Source organism: Homo sapiens, chromosome 19, assembly GCF_000001405.40.
Source record: "Homo sapiens chromosome 19, GRCh38.p14 Primary Assembly".
In the NCBI taxonomy this organism is placed as follows: Eukaryota; Metazoa; Chordata; class Mammalia; order Primates; family Hominidae; genus Homo; species Homo sapiens.
In genome coordinates this window covers 9,006,161-9,025,703 of record NC_000019.10, presented here as the reverse complement: position 1 = coordinate 9,025,703, position 19,543 = coordinate 9,006,161, and the positions used below count along the sequence as shown (strand labels likewise).

The following is a 19,543-nucleotide window of genomic DNA, read 5'->3' as shown; positions in this document are numbered from 1 at the left end:
CTCAAACTCCTGAGCTCAAGTGATGTCCTCTCCTTGGCCTCCCAAAGTGCTGAGATTACAGGCATGAGCCACTCCACCTGGCCAACACTACCCATCTTTTAGGCATCCAACCTCAGGTTGCATGGAGCCCCAGATTAGAGTCAACTCCCTCCTTGTGGGTCCAACCCACTGTTGTCACCTAAGGGGCATGGACCTATTTCTTATTCATCACCCACCTCGGCAATGTCACTCTGAGCCCCCTGGGGGCAGGGGCTGTAACCCTCAGTCACTGTCACGTCCTCATACCTGACACTTTCCCTGGTACCTGTCAGCCCCTGGCAAAAATCTGACAGTGTGAACTGAGTCATTGCCCCCTCTTCTCCCGCCCCACTACCAGCTCCTTTACTGCTATTTACAGCGTGTTTTAATTTCCTAGGGCTGCAGTGACAAAGTACCACAGACTAGGTGACTTCAACAACAGAAATTTAGTGTCTCACTGTTCTGGAAGCCAGAAGTCCGGGATCAAGGTGTGGACAGGGTTGGTTCCTTCTGGGGCTGTGGAGGGAAGGATCTGTCCTATGTCTCTCTCCCAGCGTCTGGTTGTTTGCTAACTTTATTTTTTTTTTGAGACAGAATCTCACTCTGTTGCCCAGCTGGAGTGCAGTGGAGCGATCTTGGCTCACTGCAACCTCTGCCTCCCAGGTTCAATGATTCTCCTGCCTCAGCCTCCTCAGTAGGTGGAATTGCAGGTGCCCACCACGATGCCCAGCTAATTTTTGTATTTTTAGTAGAGATGGGGTATTGCCATGTCAGCCAGGCTGGCCTCCTGGCCTCGAGCCATCCTCCCACCTCGGCCTCCCAAAATGCTGAGATTACAGGTGTGATCCACCACGCCCGGCCTTATTTGCTGACAATCTTCAAGTTTCCTTGGCTTGTGGATACCTCACTCCAATCTTTGCCGTCATCTTCATATGGGCTTATCTCTGTGTATGTCTGTCTTGGTGCCCAAATTTCCTCCCCAACCTTTTTTTTTTTTTGAGATGGAGTCTCACTCTGTCACCCAGGCTGGAGTGCAATGGCATGGTCTTGGCTCACTGCAACCTCCGCCTCCCGGGTTCAAGCGATTCTCCTGCCTCAGCCCCCTCCCCAAGTAGCTGGGACTATAGGCACGTACCACCACGCCTGGCTAATTTTTGTATTTTTAGTAGATATGGGGTTTCACCATGTTGGCCAGGCTGGTCTCTAACTCCTGACCTCGTGATCCACCCACCTCGGCCTCCTAAAGTGCTGGGATTACAGGCGGGAGCCACCACACCCGGCCTCAAATTTCCCCTTTTTAAGGGGACACCAGTCCTATTGGATTAGAGCCCACCCTGGTAGCCTCGTTTCCAATATTTCTAAATAAGGTCACATTCTGAGAGGTACTGGGCATTAGGACATCAACGTCTATTTTTCAGGGGGACACAATTCAAACCATGGGGCTTCTGGCTTCAGAGTCACCCATACTTGAGACCATAATTATCTTTGCCTCTACCCTTTACATAATTCAGTAAATATGGAGAGATGGACTTAATAAGTATAATAGGGGATTGAGCTGAGGGCTGGAGACCCCACAGCAAGTCCTGGCGGGCATCTTAATCCTGCTTTTAAGATTTACAATCAGGAAAGAGCAGGTGTGCTTTTTAAAAAGAAAAATTATTTTTGGACAAGATCTTGCCCCGTCACCCGGGCTGAAGTGAGGCATGGTAATGGCTCACTGCAGCCTTGAACTCTTAGGCTCAAACAATCTTCCCACCTCAGCCTCATGAGTAGCTGATAGTACAGGTGTGCACCAACATGCTTGGCTAATTTTTTTTTTTTCTTTGAGACAGAGTCTCACTCTGTCGCCCAGGCTGGAATGCAGTGGCATGATCTTGGCTCACTGCAACTTCCACCTCCTGGGTTCAAGTGATTCTCCTGCCTCAGCCTCCCGAGAAGCTGGGTTTACAGGTGCATACCACCACACTCAGCTAATTTTTGTATTTTTAGTAGAGACAGGGTTTTGCCATGTTGGCCAGGCTGGTCTCGAACTCCTGACCTTGTGATCCATCCACCTTGGCCTCCCAAAGTGCTGAAATTACAGGTGTGAGCCACCGCACCCGGCCGCCCGGCTAATTTTTTAACTTTCTGTAGAGATGGGGGTCTTGCTATGTTGCCCAGGCTGGTCTCAAACTTCTGGGTTCTACTGATCCTCCCACCTCGGCTCTCCAAAGTGCTGGGATTACAGGCATGAGCCACCGTGCCAGCCCAGATGTGCCTTTGAAACCTCTGTTTTTCAGGTTCCATTGCCTGGGGAGGATAAAAGCAAACAGATTTAGTAATTGCAAATAATTGCAAGAAAATATTTCCTTGGCCCTGCCCCACTCCTGCTTTTCTGAAGTCTCTCAAAGTCTCCCCCAGGGTGACTGCAGGTGTCTCGCACCCTCTCACAGATAAACATGCTTGATGCCACTTCACCAGCTTTGCTGGAAGGGCACCGGGAGTCCTCATTTCAGCCTCACAGCAATGCTGCAAAGTAGGTGCTGTCATTACCCATTTCAAATGCACAAAACACTGAAGTCACTGCCCAAGACGGCACACCTGGGAACTGGTGGAGTTGTCATTTTTTTTTCTTTCTTTTCTTTTTTTTTTTTGAGACGGAGTCTCCTCTGTCGCCCAGGCTGGAGTGCAGTGTGCGATCTCGGCTCACTGCAAGCTCCACCTCCCGAGTTCAAGCAATTCTCCTGCCTCAGCCTCCTGAGTAGCTGGGATTACAGGCACCCGCCACCACAACCAGCTAAGTTTTGTATTTTTAGTAGAGACGGTGTTTCACCATGTTGGCCAGGCTGGTCTCAAACTCCTGACTTTGTGATCCACTGGCCTTGGCCTCCCAAAGTGCTGGGATTACAGGTGTGAGCCACTGCGCCCGGCCTATCATTCCCATCTTTATGTCTGTGTGTACTCAGTGTTTAGCTCCTTAGAGGTGAAAACACGTGGTATTTGGTCTTCTGTTTTGCATTAATTCACTTAGAATAATGGTCTTTGATTTAAACCCAGTGTGTCTGGTTCCCTAGCTTGTGCTTAAAACCCCACCTCAATAAATCATTAGCCCAGGTTGATGGGACAGAAAGCAGGTCAGAAGAAGGAAGGGCATAGCCATGTGAGAAGTGAAGCCCTTTGGGGATTTGAACTCAGGTGAATCTGACTTCAAAGCCATGTATACTCTTATTTTCCCCCTTTTGAAGGTGAAATTAGAATTTGTATGCAGTAACATGCAAAAATGCAAGGGATTTCCCCCAAAATCTTATCATAAAAAATTCAAACATAGAAATAATTTTGCAGGCCAGGTGCAGTGGCTCATGCCTGTAATCCCAGCACTTTGGGTGGGGGTCAAGGTGGGAGGATCACTTGAGCCCAGGAGGTCAAGGATGCAGTGAACTATGATTGTGTCACTGCACTCAGAGCCCGGGTGACAGAGTGAGACCCTGTCTCACAAAAGAAGAAAGAAGAAGGAGGAGGACGAGGAAGGAAGGAAGAAGGAAGAAGAGGAAGAGGTTTCAGAAAGAGAAAGAGAGAAAGAAAGAAAGAAAAAGAAAGAGAGAGACAGAAAGAAAGAAAGAAGAAAGAAAGAGAAAGAAAGAAGAAAGAAAAGAAGGAAGAGGAGAAGGAGAAGAAGAAGGAGAAGAAGGAGAAGGAGGAGGAGGAAGAGGCGGCGGCGGTGAAGCAGGAGGAGAGTAGTTCCAGATTAGGCTGGGCAATGGAGCGAGACCTTATTTCTACAAAAAAGTAAAAAATTAGCTGGGCGTGGTAGTGCATGCTTGTAGTCCCAGCTACTTAGGAGGCTGAGATGGGAGGATTGCTTGAGCCCAGGAGGTCAAGGGTGCAGTGAACTATGATTGTGCCACTGCACGCCACAGACTGGGCAACATAGCAAGACCTTGTCTCTAAAAGTAAATAAATAAATAAATATAAAAGTAAACAAAAAGTTCTTCACGCAGAGCATTAACTAGAGGTCAGTATTCACGTATAGAATTTTATCTTTTGAGGTCAAGTTTATACTCAATTAAATGCACAGACCTCAAGTGTACGTTGGCTAAGTTTGGACAAATGCAAACATCTGTCTAACCCAAATCCCTACTAAGATATAGAACATCAGCATCACCACAGAAAGATATAGAATACTATCCTCCTCTATTTTTCCCTTTATATGGAGGTATAATTTATACTCACGAAAATCCACACATCTTAAGTGCTCAATAAACTGTTCTGAGAGCCATAGCTTTTAGCCACCGGACTATACTTGAAGTCATGTCTCTTCTTGATAACCGGACTTTTCTTTAGTCTAGACTCTTTTGGCCGGGCACAGCGGCTCATGCTTGTAATCCCAGCACTTTGGGAGGCCGAAGAGGGCAGACCACCTGAGGTCAGGAGTTTGAGACCAGCCTGGCCAACATGGTGAAACCCTGTCTCTACTAAACACACAAAAAATTACCTGGGCATGGTGGCGGGTGCCTGTAATCCCAGCTACTCAGGAGGCTGAGGCAGGAGAATTGCTTGAACCCGGGAGGCGGAGGTTGCAGTGAGCCGAGATCATGCCACTGCACTGTAGCTTGGAGGGCAGAGTGAGACCCTGTCTCAAAAAAAAAAAAAAAAAAAGACTCTTTGGTATTGACATCAATCAGTGGTTCTCAATTAGGAGAGATTTTGCCCCCAGGGGACAGTTGGCAATATCTGGAGACATTCTGGTTGTCATACCTGGGAAGTGGAGTGAGGCTGAGGCAGGAGAATAGCTTGAACCCAGGAGCTGGAGGTTGCAGTGAGCTGCAATCGCACCACTGCACTCCAGCCTGGGTGACGGAGCGAGACTCCATCTCAAAACAAAAATGAAAACAAAACAAAGGGGTACAGAAAATACAAGGCATCTGCTTTGTTCATCTCTCTTTTTTTGTTTGTTTTGTTTTAAGAGATGGGGTCTCGCCCTGTCACCCAGGCTGGAGTGCAGTGGTGTGATCATAGCTCACTGCAGCTTCCAACTCCTGGGCACAAGCGATCCTCCTTTCTCAGCCTCTCAAGTAGCTGGGACTACAGGTAACACTGTGCCTGTCTAAATTTTTTATTTTTTTATTTTGTAGAGACAGGATCTCACTATGTTGCCCAGGCTGGTCTTGAACTCCTGGGCTCAAATAATTCTCCTGTCTCAGCCTCCCAAATAGCTAGGACTTCAGGCTGGTGCCACCACACCTGGCTAAGTTTTTTATTTGTTTAGAGATGGGGTCTCACGATGCTACCCAGTCTGGTCTTGAACTCCTGGCCTCAAAGAGATCCTCTAGCATCAGCCTCCTGAATCTTGTTCTCCTCTCTCTCTCTCTCCTTTTCTCTTTTTTTCCTTTGAGACAAGGTCTTGCTCTGTTGCCCAGGCTGGCGTGCAGTGGTGCGATCTCGGATCACTGCAACCTTCATTTCCTGGACTCAAGCAATCCTCCCACCTCAGCCTTCCGAGTAGCTGGGACTACAGGCACACACCACAAAACCTGGCTAATTTTTTTTTCGTTGTTTCCTTTAATTAACATCTAAATAGATTACACATCTTCTATAATTATAATATGGAAATGTATACGAGCAAAATATACAAATTTTTTGGTAAATGCCTAGGGAAGAATGGTGTCAGTCAAGTTCATCCAAGGTCTTAAGCAGCAGCATCTATGCAGCCAGGGTGTGCTGAGCGTTTGGGGACAGAGGTAAATATCCGCAATCCATGCATCACTTTGATTTCTTCTTGTAGTGACTGATTCACTATTTGGTGCTGCTGAATAGTTCTCTCCTCCTTAACTTCTTCTGATTCAATTTTAATTTCATACATGACCCCACAACCTCTTGAAATGTCAGTGACTTTGATAGCTGTAGCTCGAGGAAACTTTTCTTTTTTCTTTTTTTCCTTTTTTTTTTTTTTTTTGACGTTGTCTCACTCTGTCACCCAGGCTGGAGTGCAGTGGCACCATCTCGGCTCACTGCAACCTCTGCCTCCCAAGCTCAAGCGATTCTGTCTCACCCTCCCGAGTAGCTGGGATTACAGGTGCCCGCCACCATGCCTGGCTAATTTTTGTATTTTTAGTAAAGACGGGGTTTCACCATGTTGGCCAGGCTGGTCTTGAACTCCTGACCTCGTGATTCACCCGACTTCGCCTCCCAAAGTGCTGGAATTACAGGCGTGAGCCACCGCGCCCGGTGAGGAAACTTGTTTTGAGAATTTGGGTCATTCTGAGCTCCCCCTCAGTCTGGGAGGCAAACATCCAATGGACACAGTGAAGAGGATGCCCACGGATCGCGGAGCAGAGGTGCTGCGGCGGCCGGGCTCCATGCTGCTATGCCCGGCCCACCTAATTAAAAAAAAAATTTTTTTTTGTAGAAACGGGGTCTCACTATGTTGCCCACGCTGGTCTTGAACTCCTCCCAGGCTCAAGCAATCCTCCAGTCTCAACCTCCCAAAGGGTTGGGATTACAAGCATGAGCCGCCACACCCGGCCTTGTTCTTCTCTTCTCTTTTTTTTTTTTTTGAGATCCTTGCTCTGTCACCCAGTCTGGAGTGCAGTGGGCCGATCTCGGCTCACTGCAACCTCTGCCTTCCAGGTTCAAGTGATTCTCCTGCCTCAGCCTCCCAAGTAGCTGGGATTACAGGCATGCGCCACCACGCCCGGCTAATTTTTTGTGTCTTTAGTAGAGACGGGGTTTCACCATGCTGGCCAGGCTGGTCTCGATCTGCTGACCTCAGGTGATCTGCTCCCCTTGGCCGTCCAAAGTGTTGGGATTACAGGCGTGAGCCACTGCGCCCGGCCTTGTTCCTTCTCTTTATCCCCAGCGCTTGGTCCCTGGTGAATGGTCAATATATGAATAAATCATTCAACAAACTTTTTTTTTTTTGTCTGTGTGACACACCTATCATAGTCAGGTACCCTCTTCATATTCACACACTAGAGAGAGTTATAAGAGATGAAAACACAGATACGCGATCCTGTGGTCAAACGATTTTACAAGGAAGTTACAAGGTGCTTTGGGAACAGGGCGGGGAGCTCTGCTTTCTGTCTGGGGAGGGAGGTAGGGGAGGCCTGGAGAGAATTAGGGGACACAGAATCAGGTAAAGGGAAGGAGGGTAATTCCGGCACAGGGAACGGCCGAGGCAAAGGCTTCGGGGTGAGAAGCGAAGTCATACGTTAGTCCAATGCAGGCCGGGTCCCGGCTCAAGGTGGGCCTTCAACGCCAGGCTGCAGCGTTTGGACTTGGTCCCGAGGGCGGTGAGAAGGCACTGAAGAATTCGGACCGGGGCGGGGCATGGCCGGTGTTGCATTTTTGAAAGGTCACTCTGTTGGCTGGGCGGGCGGAGGGGAACTGGAGGAGGGTGGAGCTGGTGGTAGAAGATGAATATGAGTAAAGAAGCTATTTCGGGAAGGCAGGCAGAGAGAGAGGATGAGGGCATGAACAGAGGTGAGGCAGTGGGCCGAGTCATTACTTAGAAGGGGTCGAGCACTGTGGCTCACGCCTGTAATCCCAGCACTCTGGGAGGCTGAGTCGGGTGGATCACTTAAGGTCAGGAGTTCAAGACCAGCCTGGCCAACGTGGTGAAACCCCATCTCTACTAAACACACACACACACACACACACACACACACACACACACACACTAGCCAGGCATAGTGGCGCACGCTTGTAATCCCAGCTACTCAGGAGGTTGAGACAGGAGAATCACTTAAACCTGGGAGGCAGAGGTTGCAGTGAGCCGAGATTGGCCCACTGCACTCCAGCCTGGGTGACAGAGCAAGACTTCGTCTCAAAAAAAAAAAAAAAACAACTTTTTGTTGCAATGTAACAGACACAAGTAAAGTGTGCACAAAATGCCTGAATCTTAAGTGCGTGTCAATGAATTTTTACATATGTGTAACCATTGCACACCACGATGTAAAATGTTCCCTTCCTCTATTATTTTTTTTAATTTTAATTTTATTTTTTGAAACGGAGTCTCATACTAGCACCCAGGCTGGAGTACAGCGAGGCAGTCATGGCTTACTTCAGCCTCAACCTCCTGGGCTCAAGCAGTCCTCATGTCTCAGCCTCCAGGGTAGCTGGCACGACAGATGTGCACCACCACTCCTGGCTAATTTTTTTTTTTATTATTTTTAGTGGGGCCATCTCACTATGTTGCCCAGGCTGGTCTCGAACTCCTGAGCTCAAGTGATCCTCTTGCCTCAGCCTCCCAAAGTCCTGGGATTACAGACATAAGCCACCTGCGGCCCATTTTTTCTAGAACAGGATTTCTCAGCCTTGGCGCTTTTGACATTAGAAGCTGGGTAATACTTTGTTGTAAGGGGCTGTCCTGTGTGTTGTAGGATGTTTAGCAGCATCTCTGGCCTCCACCTATTAGACACCAGTAGCACCCCTTCTCTCTCAGTTAAAACAACATCTTTAGACGTTGCCAAATGGCAGCTGGGAGGCACAATTGCCCTCACTTGAAAACCACTGCTGGCCGGGTGCGGTGGCTTACGCCTGTAATCCCAGGACTTTGGGAGGCCGAGGCGGGCAGATCACGAGGTCAGGACATCAAGACCATCCTGGCTAACACGGTGAAACCCTGTCTCTACTAAAAATACAAAAAATTAGCCAGGTGTGGTGGCAGGCGCCAGTAGTCCCAGCTACTGGGGAGGCTGAGGCAGGAGAATCACTTGAACCCGGGAGGCAGAGCTTGCAGTGAGCTGCGATCACGCCACTGCCTCCAGCCTGAGCGACAGAGTGAGACTCCGTCGCAAAAAAAAAAAAGAAAAGAAAACCACTGCTGTAGAAAGCTCCTTCAAACCCCTTTTCCAGACAGACAGTGCCCCCATCCTCAGAACACCCTTTTTTTTTTTTTTTTTTTTTTTTGAGGTGGAGTCTTGCACTGTTTCCCAGGCTGGAGTGCAATGGTGCAATCTTGGCTCACTGCAGCCTCCGCCTCCCGGGTTCGAGCAATTCTCCTGCCTCAGCCTCCTGAGTAGCTGGGATTACAGGTGCACGCCATCATGCCCAGCTAATTTTTTTTTTTTTTGTATTTTTAGTAGGGATGGGGTTTCACTATGTTGGCCAGGCTGGTGTCGAACTCCTGACCTCGTGATCTGCCCGCCTTAGCCTTCCAAAGTGCTGGGATTACAGGCATGAGACATCACGCTCCACCTCAGAACACTCTTTTGGCTTCTTTCCCCTCAATTCCTCTTGCCTGTCCTTGAACACATTGCAAATGGAAACATACAGGGCCCAGCTGTGCAATCTTGTGTGAGTTATGTAATTTCTTTGTGCCTCAGTTTCCACCACTGTAAAATGGGTCAATGAAACGCACCACTTCACAGAGAAACCTCGAGAATGAAGAGCCATTCACTTCTGGGAAGGGCGTGGCTCAGAGAAAATATTGAACTCACGTCATTTGTGGATGCTGTGATTTAATGTCAGTGTCCTTTCTTCTGGTTTCGCGGATGGATGCCTGGGAAACACTAAGTTCTCGGTAAACACTTTTAGGGTCATGTTCATTTCTTCTACTGTGGGGATTTGAACCTAGACTACCTCCAGCTCCCCTGTCATTCCCTTGTGATTTTTTTTTTTTTTTTTTTAGAGAGATGGGGTCTCACTATATTGCCCAGACTGGTCTCGAACTCCTTGCCTCAAGCAATCCTCCCATCTCGGCCTCCCAAAGTGCTGGGATTACAGGCATGAGCCACCATGCCTGGCTTTTTTTTTTTTTTTTTTTTTTTTTGAGACAAGGTCTCACTCTGTCACCCAGGCTGGATGGAGTGCAGAGGTGTGATCTTGGCTCACTGCAGTCTCCACCTCCCAGGCTCAGGCCATCCTGCCACCTCAGGCTCCTGAGTAGCTGAGACTACAGGTGAGCACCACCATGCCTGGCTAATTTTTGTATTTTATTTTTTGTAGATATGGAGTCTCATTATGTTGCCCAGGCTGGTCTCAAACTCTTGGGCTCAAGCAATCCTCTAGGCTCGGCTTCCCAAGGTGCTGGGATTACAGGCATAAGCCACCATGCCCAGTGTCCCCTGTGACTTCTAAGCCTGACAATCCAGGCTGGTCTGTTCTCCTACGTGGAAACCCCCATCTTATTAAGAAATGCCAACAGCTTTTCTGAGTTTCCTCTAGTTCCACCTTTTCCATGATGTTTGCCCTGGGAGACTCTCCCGTGCCATTGAAATCCACTCCCTGGCCGGGTGCGGTGGCTCACGCCTGTAATCCCAACACTTTGGGAGGCTGAGGCAGGTGGATCACTTGAGGACGGGAGTTCGAGACCAGCCTGGCCAACATGGGGAAACCCCGTCTCTACCAAAAATACAAAAGTGAGCCGGACATGGTGGCAGGTGCCTGTAACCCCAGCTACTCGGGAGGCTGAGGCAGGAGAATCGCTTGAACCCAGGAGGCAGAGGTTGCAGTGAGCCGAGATGACACCACTGCACTCCAGCCTGGGTGACAGAGCAAGGCTCCGTCTCAAAAAAAGAAAAAAAAAAAAGCTCAGACAAACAAACCCCACTGCACCTTGCTGTTTAGTGATAACTGTGGGTTTCTCCTCCTGCTCTCTGACCCTGCCTCCTCTGTCTCCGCCACTTATCTCTCTCCCTTTTCTCTACTCAGCAGCGTCCCTCAGCCCTCTGTCTCACTCGGCCAGCACCACCCAGCCCTGACGTCTCTTCTTTGCCCCTAGCGATGTTATCACATAAGCAAAGCTGGCTCAGGCCGGGTCAGTCTGGGGATAGCAGGAGACAGAGGTTGCCTTGCTTCGTCTTTGATTCTGCTGTGGTCCTCTCCATTTTCCCACAAGGGGCAGGCAGACCTTTGAGAAGAGAGCACCCAGAAATCTGTACACTTCTCCCCCAGTTCCTTTTTTAAAAAACTTTTAGGTTCAAGGGTACATGGGAAGGTTTGTTACAAAGGTGAACTCATGTCACGGGGGTGTGTTGTACAAATTATTTCATCATCCAAGTTTTTTTTTAATTTTTAAAAAAATTTTTTTGAGACAGAGTTTTGCTCTTGTTGCCCAGGCTGGAGTGCAATGGTGTGATCTCGGCTCACTGCAACCTCCGTCTCCCGGGTTCAAGCGATTCTCCTGCGTCAGTCTCCCGAGTTCTGCGACTACAGGAATGCGCCACCATGCCTGGCTAATTTTAGTAGTTTTAGTAGAGATGGGGTTTCACCATGTTGGCCAGGCTGGTATCGAACTCCTGACTTCAGGTGATCCACCTGCCTTGGCCTCCCAAAGTACTGGGATTACAGGCATGAGCCACCGCACCCGGCCAATAGGTAATTTTTCAACCCTCACTCTTCCTCCTACCCTCCCTTTTTTTGGAGTTCCCAGTGCCTATTATTTCCATCTTTGTGTCCATGTATACTCATTGTTTAGCTCCCACTTTTAAGTGAGAACACATGGTATTTTACATCCTGTTTCTGAGTTATTTCACTTAGGATAATGACCTCCATCTCCACCATGTTGCTGCAAAGGACATGATTTCATTCTTTTTTATGGGTGTATAGTATTCCATGGCGTATACTTACCACATTTACTTTATTCATTCATCCACTGATGGACACTTATTCCACAACTTTGCTTTTGTGTATAGTACTGCAATAAACATACAGGTGCAAGTGTATTTTAGATAAGACAATTTCTTTTCCTTTGGGCAGATTTTTTTCCCTTTGAGCAGTAGTGGGATTGCTGGGTTGAATGGTAGTTCTATGTTTCATTCTTTGGGAAATCTTCATACTGTTTTCCATAGGGGCTGAACTAATTTACATTACCACCAACAGTCAGAGGCTATTTTATTTTATTTTTTTTGAGAGAGAGTCTTACTCTGTTGCCCAGGCTGGATCTCGCTCACTGCAACCTCCCCCTCCTAGGTTCAAGTGATTCTTCTGCCTCAGCCTCCTGAGTAGCTGGGATTACAGGCGTGCACCACCATGCCTGGCTAATTTTTTTGCATTTTTAGTAGAGATGAGGTTTCACCCTGATGGCCAGGCTGGTCTCGAGCTCCTGGCCTCAAGCAATCCACTTGCCTTGGCCTCCCAAAGTGCTGTGATTATAGGCGTGAGCCATTGCACCCGGCCTAATTTTTTAAAACATACTTTAAAAACATTTATTTATTTATTTATTTATAATTTCCACTTTTATTTTAGATTCAGGAGGTACAAATTATGTTCAGGTTTGTTACATGGGTATATTCTATGACGCTGAGGTTTGGGGTACGAATGCACCTGTCTCCCAGATACTATGCATAGTACTCAATAGGTGGGTTTTCAGCCCTAGCCCCGCCTCCTGCCTCCCACCTGTAGTACCCTCCAGTGTCTCTTGTTCCCATCTTCACATCCATACATATCCGTTGTTTACCTCACACTTATAAGTGAGAACGTGATTTTCTGTCCCTGGGTTATTCATTTAGGATAACAGGGCCAGGCACAGTGGCTCATGCTGGTAATCCCAGCACTTTGGGAGGCCGAGGTGGGTGGATCACTTGAGGTCAGGAGTTCAAGACCAGCCTGGCCAACATGGTGAAAGCCTGTCTCTACTAAAAAAAAAAATACAAAATTAGCCAGGCATGGTGATGCATGCCTGTAATCCTAGCTACTTGGGAGGCTGAGGCAGGAGAATCGCTTGAACCCGGGAGGTGGAGGTTGCAGTGAGCCGAGATCATGCCATTGCACTTTAGCCTGGGTGACAGAGCGAGACTCCATCCCCAAAAAACAAAACAAAATGAAACAAAAACCAAAACAAACAAAACAAAACAAAACAAAAACCAGGAGCTCTAATGACCTATCTGGAATCTAAACCCATTTTCCCAGATGCACTCCTTATAAGAATGGGCGACCCCTGGACCTAAGGCATGATGTACTATGGTGCTTAGGGATACTTGCTGCTGTGTGCTAGAGAAAGAGGATTTGCACTGCTTACTCGGGAAGAGCACTGGTTGTGGACTCCAGAGTCCTGGGGCCTGTTTCCAGTTCTGTCGCTGATCTTGCAGATTCTGGTGCTCTGTGTTTTTTTTTTTTTTTTTTGAAATGGAGTTTTGCTATTGTCTCCCAGGCTGGAGTGCAATGGCACGATCTCCGCTCACTGCAACCTCCACCTCCTGGGTTCAAGCAATTCTCCTGCCTCAGCCTCCCAAGTAGCTGGGATCGCAGGCGTGCACCACCATGCCCAGCTAATTTTGTATTTTTAGTGGAGACGGGGTTTCATCATGTTGACCAGGCTGGTCTCGAACTCCTGACCTCAGGTAATCCACCCGCCTCTGCCTCACAAAGTGCTGGGATTACAGGTGATACTCTTTTTAGGGGCCCAGTTTTCCCATCTCTGAGGTAGGCGAAATTGAATACAGTGATTGCCCAGAAAACTCACTGGCTTGCCTTCTGTTTCTCTGCGATGATTTTTCTTAAGTGAGGGACGGGTACCTTGAGAGAGAACTAGGGTGGGAGTTTGGACAAAACTTAGGCTCAACTTTCCCCTTCCAGCTTTCCTTTCTGTTGCTTCCAGCCACTGTCTCCTCCTTGGGAAACTCCCTTCCCTTCCCTTCTCTCCATCTCCCCTGGTCTGGAGGACTCCAGCCTATCTTTCCATCTTGATGCACGTGCCACCTCCTCCAGGAAGACTTCCCTGATTCCCTGCCCCCTCCCAGTCTGGGTTTGGCATCTCCCACCTACCTCTCATTTCCAGCTTGATCACCTGTACTTGTTCATTTATCTGTTTTGGCCAGATTGCCTGCCCAGGGTGTTTCCTGGGGCTCAAGGTATGTCTATGCTGAGAGGAAGGGCTACAGAGCAAGGAGAGAAGAGAAACGGTTAATAGGAAATTGAACAGAGCATAAGCCCCCAGGGGTTGCTGACAGACTTCCCTGGGCCATGAGCCCAGCCACAGGGCCATGGAGTTTGGCTCCAGGTACAAGACCCAGGAGAAGTGGTTGGCCCTGTGGGGGTGTCTGGCACGCTGAGGTCCAAATCCACTGCCTGCCTCCTTCACACTGGGCACCTGCAGGTGTCTCCTTATCTTGAAGATGGGTGATGACAGGCCGGGCACGGTGGCTCATGCCTGTAATCCCAGAGCTTTGGGAGGCCGAGGTGGGTGGATCTTAAGGTTAGGAGTTCGAAACCAGACTGGCCAACATGGCAAAAACCCATCTCTACTAAAAACACAAAAATTAGCTGGGCGTGGTGGCGCACACCTATAATCCCAGCTACTCGGGAGACTGAGGCAGGAGAATCTCTTGAACCCGGGAGGTGGCGGTTGCAGTGAGCCGAGATCACGTCATTGCACTCCAGCCTGGGTGACAGAGCGAGACTCTATCTCAAAAAAAAAAAAAAAAAAAGATGGGTGATATGGGTGATGATAAACCCACTTCCTCTGACTGTTAGAGGCTAGAGGGGTGGGGGGTCTCTTGAGTGCCTGGACAAAGGGGGACAGCAGGGGGGTGTCTTGAGGGGCATGGTACTTAAAAAACATCACCCTGCAATCTGTGCTGGGCCGATTTGAGGGGGAAGAGCCTACTTCTGAAATGACTATTGTCATCACCCAGGCCTGGGGTGAGAAGAAGCTGGTGGAGATTGCAGGGCTGGTGAGGAGGAGGAAGAACCCCCAATCCCCTCCCTGTACCCCACACCAGCCCCTTCCTTGCCTCTCTGCTGCTGTCAAGGGCAGCTGAAGAGCTTGACCGGGGAGTGAGGGACTGCAGCCCCGAGGTGGTTTTGTAGGACTCAGAGCGCGGCAGGAGTATAGCGGGTGTGGCTCTGTGGGGCTTTGGAAGGGTACGAGAAGGCCGGCCCTCAGCTCCCCTGGCAGCCAGGGAGTTCCTATGTGGGAATGCAGCCTCGCGTACACTCCTGAACATTCCAAAACCCTCCAGAGGCAGCTGTGCCTCCCCCAAGGAGGGTCCACCCAGCTCCAGTCTGGCGGTGCCAGTCCCTGCGCAGGAGGGGGTCAGGTAGAACCTGGGGACTTTGGAGAACGGGACAGGTCTATGCCTGGGTCCCTGTTTTCCTTCAAGCCCAGAGGGACCCCCAGTTTGGCAACAGACTCTGGAGTCAGGCTCTGTCCGCGGTGGGGGCTCCCTCGGGCCGCTGCTCTCGGAAGGTATCAGCCTGCAGGTGTCAGTCACTGAGTGCACTGAATCATGCCAGCTGACCTTTGCCAGGAAGGCACCCACTGCTTCCCTCTAGGGCAAGCCCTGCCCCTCTTGAGAAGCTCAGCAAGGTGTGTCCTCACCACCCTCCCTGCAGCCGGGGCCAGACTGGGCTGGGTTCAGTCTCAGGGACTCTCTCGGGGGGTGAGGAGCACAGCCTGGGCAGGCAGTAGGATGGGCCGGGAGGGCCCTGCACACCCAGGGCACCGACGCAGGCCCCTGCTAGCGCTGGCCGTGAGCCTCCTCCTCACCTGCTGGCCAGGTAAGTGGGACTGGGCTGGGGCTCACTGAGGAGCTGGACGGATTCATATAGGAGAGAGGCTGGTATGACAGGTGATTTGTGCTTCCTAAGCCCCAGCAGGGACAGCCAGGAGGTCTTTTGCTTTTGCTTTTGCTTTTCTGTAAATGCCTCCTCCAGCCCGACCCAATGAATCTGCATTTACCAGACTGACGTGGGCGAGTTCACAAAACCGCTGTATTGTGAATTGAGTATCTGCCGAGATGAGTGTGGAAACACCCAAGGATTCCTTCCATCACCGACTCACTCACACACTCACTCCCTGAGGGGGTTTTAGCGGCACCTCCAGTCCCAGTATCTGTGCCCAGCTCTCAGGGACAGAAATGAGCAAGTCGCCGCCGCAGGGTTCCAGGAGCTCCGATCTGGTGGGCGAGAGAGACTGGGGCGTCCAGTCAGTCGGGGTACAGGGCTGAGCAGGAACTTTGCTAAGAGGCATTGATGGGGTAAGGGTGGTGGCGGTGGGGGCAGGGGTCTTAAACTGCAGGGTGGCATCTGAATTGCACAGGGTTGGAATTTTACAGGCACACTTAGGAGCAAAAGAGAAGGGCGTTCCCGGCAGCGGGGACGGAGTAGGCATGGACTAGGAGGCAGGGAGCCATCAGGCGTATCTGGGTCCTTTCCTGTGAGCTGCATGTATCTGGGCTGCGTGATGGGGAGATACCGAGGGAAGGACTGGAAGCAGAAACGCAGCGTGGGAGGGCTGTGGGAGGCATGTTCCTGGGTCCAAAGGGGTCTTTCAAGAACTGTTGGTCATTTTAGGAGATTAGCCTGGACATTACTGCCCAGAGAAAAGACCCTGGGCTCAGGGAAGGGCTGGCATCCAGCTTGGTGTTTCTGTGTGTTGTTGCGGGCTTAAGGGAGCCAGCCTCTCTTCCCTACAGGGAAGTTTCAAGATTGTTCATACCTGAACCCAGGACTGCCCAAACCCACCCAGAACTTATTTTACTCCGGTTGCCTCCGAGGGCAGGAAGTTGGGGCTTTTTCACCAAACAGCCCTCGTGTGCAAGATGAACTGAGGCTTGCAGAAGAGGAGATCTATAATGAGCTGGGTGCTCAGATGTCTGTTCATTTACTCAGAGGAGGAGGAAGGACTGTTTCTCACAGCTTGGCCTGGAAACGGAGGCCACGAGGGGCCTCAAGGGGTTGGGGTTGGGGGAGGCCCATCCACCTCCTCCATCCGGGGAGGGGGGGTGCCCTGGATGCAGACAGACTGTGATTCACCTGCCCCCATGCCCTTCCCTACTCGGGCCCCGGATCTAGCCTGAGAAGCAGGTGAGGAAGGCACCCCAGTCCCCCAGCCCTGAGTCACCGAGGCCGGGCAGTCGGGGACGGAGGGAGAGCTTTGTGGTTGGACACCATTGTGAGGCCTCCACACAATGGCCTGAATGGTGGGCGGGTTTGTATAGGACAACCCCACCACCTCCAGTGGGGCGTGTCCCCCTGACCTGTACTCAAAGCAGGTCACCACCAACAGAGGCTGTTTACTGCATTTGTCCCCAAGGTTCACTCAGGGTCTGATGCCGGGGGCTGTTTGCATTGGGCAGACCCTGCTCCTGTTTCAGGGAGGACTGGGCTTTGGGCTGACACCCCTCCCCATCCCCATCACCCCTCTGGCCACATCAGTCCCTTCCCAAGGGATTCCCCTGGAGTCAGTCCAGACACCATGCGGGATTTTTGACATAAAACACTGGAGAAGACTCTCTTAATCCCTGGCCGTAAATCTGAGCCCACTGCTGGCAAGCTGTGAGTCCTTGAGCCAGACATCTAACCTCTCTGAATTTCCATCTCCCCAAAGAGCAATTTTTAGAAGAATTCCAGAGCTGGAGAAATCCATCTCCCAGTTGCCTCTCCCTCCACCCTGTGGCTGAGAAACTCCAAGAGCCCAAAGGACCTCTGTGACCATCATTTTATTTTATTTATTTATTTGAGACAGAGTCCCACTCTGTCGCCCAGTCTGGAGTACAGTGGCGCAATCTTGGCTCACTGCAACCTCTGCCTCCCCAGTTCAAGCAATTCTCCTGTCTCAGCCTCCTGAGTTGCAGAGATTACAGGTGCCTGCCACCATGCCCAGCTAATTTTTTTTTTCTATTTTTAGTAGAGATGGGGGTTTCACCATGTTGGTCAGGCTGGTTTTGAACTCCTGACCTCAGGTGATCCACCCGCCTCAGCCTCTCAAAGTACTGGGATTACAGGCGTGAGGCACTGCGCCCGGCCCACCATCATTTTATAGGATCCACCTTCTATGTAATATGTTCCTGCACTTTACATGTGTTGTCTCCGTTGAACCTGCCTGACGGGTGAACACAGGGGCACCGTTATCCCCCATTTTGCAGAAGAGAAAACAGGCTCAGAGAGCTTAAGCCTTTTGTTTAAAGTCACACGGCCAGGATTCCAACTCCAGTTTCTGGATGATTCCTAAATGCTGGTTTTTATCCTTTGCCTGGGAAGAGACTGAAGGTTGAGGATTTCTCCTCTCCTGGCAGTTTCTGGGTACGTGAGTCCCCCCACACCGCCGAGGAAATGAGTTCTGTACTGCCCGTCCCAGGAGAAGGGCTGTGAAGACACAGAACATAGGCAGATCTCATTGTGCGCTGCTGAGCCCCTTCCTGGGTCCCTGAACAGTGGTCATTGTCCCAGCCCAGGCCTGGCCAGGGGGATATGAAGTTAAGGGAGTTGGATTATGAAGGGAAGGGGGCATTGGTGGGAGTGGGTGTGTGTAGTGGGCATGGGTGGAACTGTGAGGTGGGTTCCTGGTCTAACCTGCCCTTGCCAGAGTTACAGTTTATCTTTCACCACTTTTGGTTCACCAAAAAGCAGAAAGGTTTGCTTACTGTTTCCTCCAATCCTGGAGAGAGAGTTACCTTTCTTCCCAGTTGCTGGGTAGCAAAGGAAGACAATGGGTCCAAGAGGGGCAGGCCTGGCTGGGTGTACTCTCTCTCTCTCTCTCTCTCTCTCTCTCTCTCTCTCTCTCTCTCTCTCTCTCTGTGTGTGTGTGTGTGTGTATGTGTGTGTGTGTTGTGAGACGGTGTCTTACTCTGTCGCCCAGGCTGAAGTGTAGTGGCGTGATCTCGGCTCACTGCAGCCTCCGCCTCCCGGGTTCAAGTGATTCTGCTGCCTCAGCCTCCCTAGTAGCTGGGATTACAGGCGTGTGCCACCACACCCAGGTAATTTTTGTGTTTTTAGTAAAGATGGGGTTTCAACATGTTGGCCAGGCTGGTCTTGAACTCCTGGCCTCAAGTGATCGGCCTGCCTCAGCCTCCCAAAATGCTGGGAGTACAGGCCTGAGCCATGGTGCCCGGCCGGCCTGGGCATTCTTTATGCTCAGTGGATTCGTCTGGTCACTTGGTTCTCCCAGGGTGGATTGAGCAAGTGAAGGAGACTCTTCCTACCTCTCTGGAGCCTCAAGGGCCAGAAGGCCAGACATAGCAGATTATCCAAGCATGCACTCATGCTGATTGTAGATTCAGTGGTCCAGATGACCATCCCCGTTTTATAGATGAGAGAACAGAAGCTCAAAGAGGAAGGGCTGGGTGCGGTGGCTCACGCCTGTAATCCCAGCACTTTGGGAGGCCGAGGTAGGTGGATCACCTGAGGTCAGGAGTTCGAGACCAGCCTGGCCTACAGGGTGAAACCCTGTCTCTACCAAAAAATACAAAAATTAGTCAGGCATGGTGACACACGCCTGTAGCCTCAGCTACTCGGGAGGCTGAGGCACGAGAATCGCTTGAACCCTGGAGGCAGAGGCTGCTGTGAGCTGAGATCGCACCACTGCACTCCAGCCTGGGCAACAGAGTGAGACCTTGTCTCAGGAAAAAAAAAAAAAAAAAAAAAGCTCAAAGAGAAGACCCCCAGGTAGCCAGGGTAGAACTGAACCCATTCTCTTGATCTTCCTGCCATTATCCAGGCCCGACTTCTAATCCAGGTACCAGCCTCTTCTTCTCCACCTTGGAGGTGCTCCCAAAAGCTCCTCACTCCTGCAGCTCAGAGCTGTGCCCAGGGACCTAAACTGATCACAGTCCCAGAGCCGCAGGGACAAATGCCAGGTCAGGAGGACACAGATCGCAGTAGGATG

General features: G+C 50.4%; 1 protein-coding gene and 1 pseudogene across 2 annotated transcripts in view; one reads left to right on the top strand and one right to left on the bottom strand.

The window, feature by feature from the left end:
• MUC16 (mucin 16, cell surface associated) overlaps window positions 1–19,543 on the top strand; it is a gene marked incomplete in the record, with an annotated part of 216,908 nt that overhangs the window by 40,048 nt on the left and 157,317 nt on the right. The window contains 1 exon segment of one of the 2 annotated variants that reach the window (NM_001401501.2): window positions 15,295–15,435. Coding sequence (NP_001388430.1) covers window positions 15,348–15,435 — 88 coding nt within the window. 2 annotated transcript variants of the gene reach the window in all.
• BOLA3P2 (bolA family member 3 pseudogene 2) lies at window positions 5,548–6,374 on the bottom strand (annotated as a pseudogene).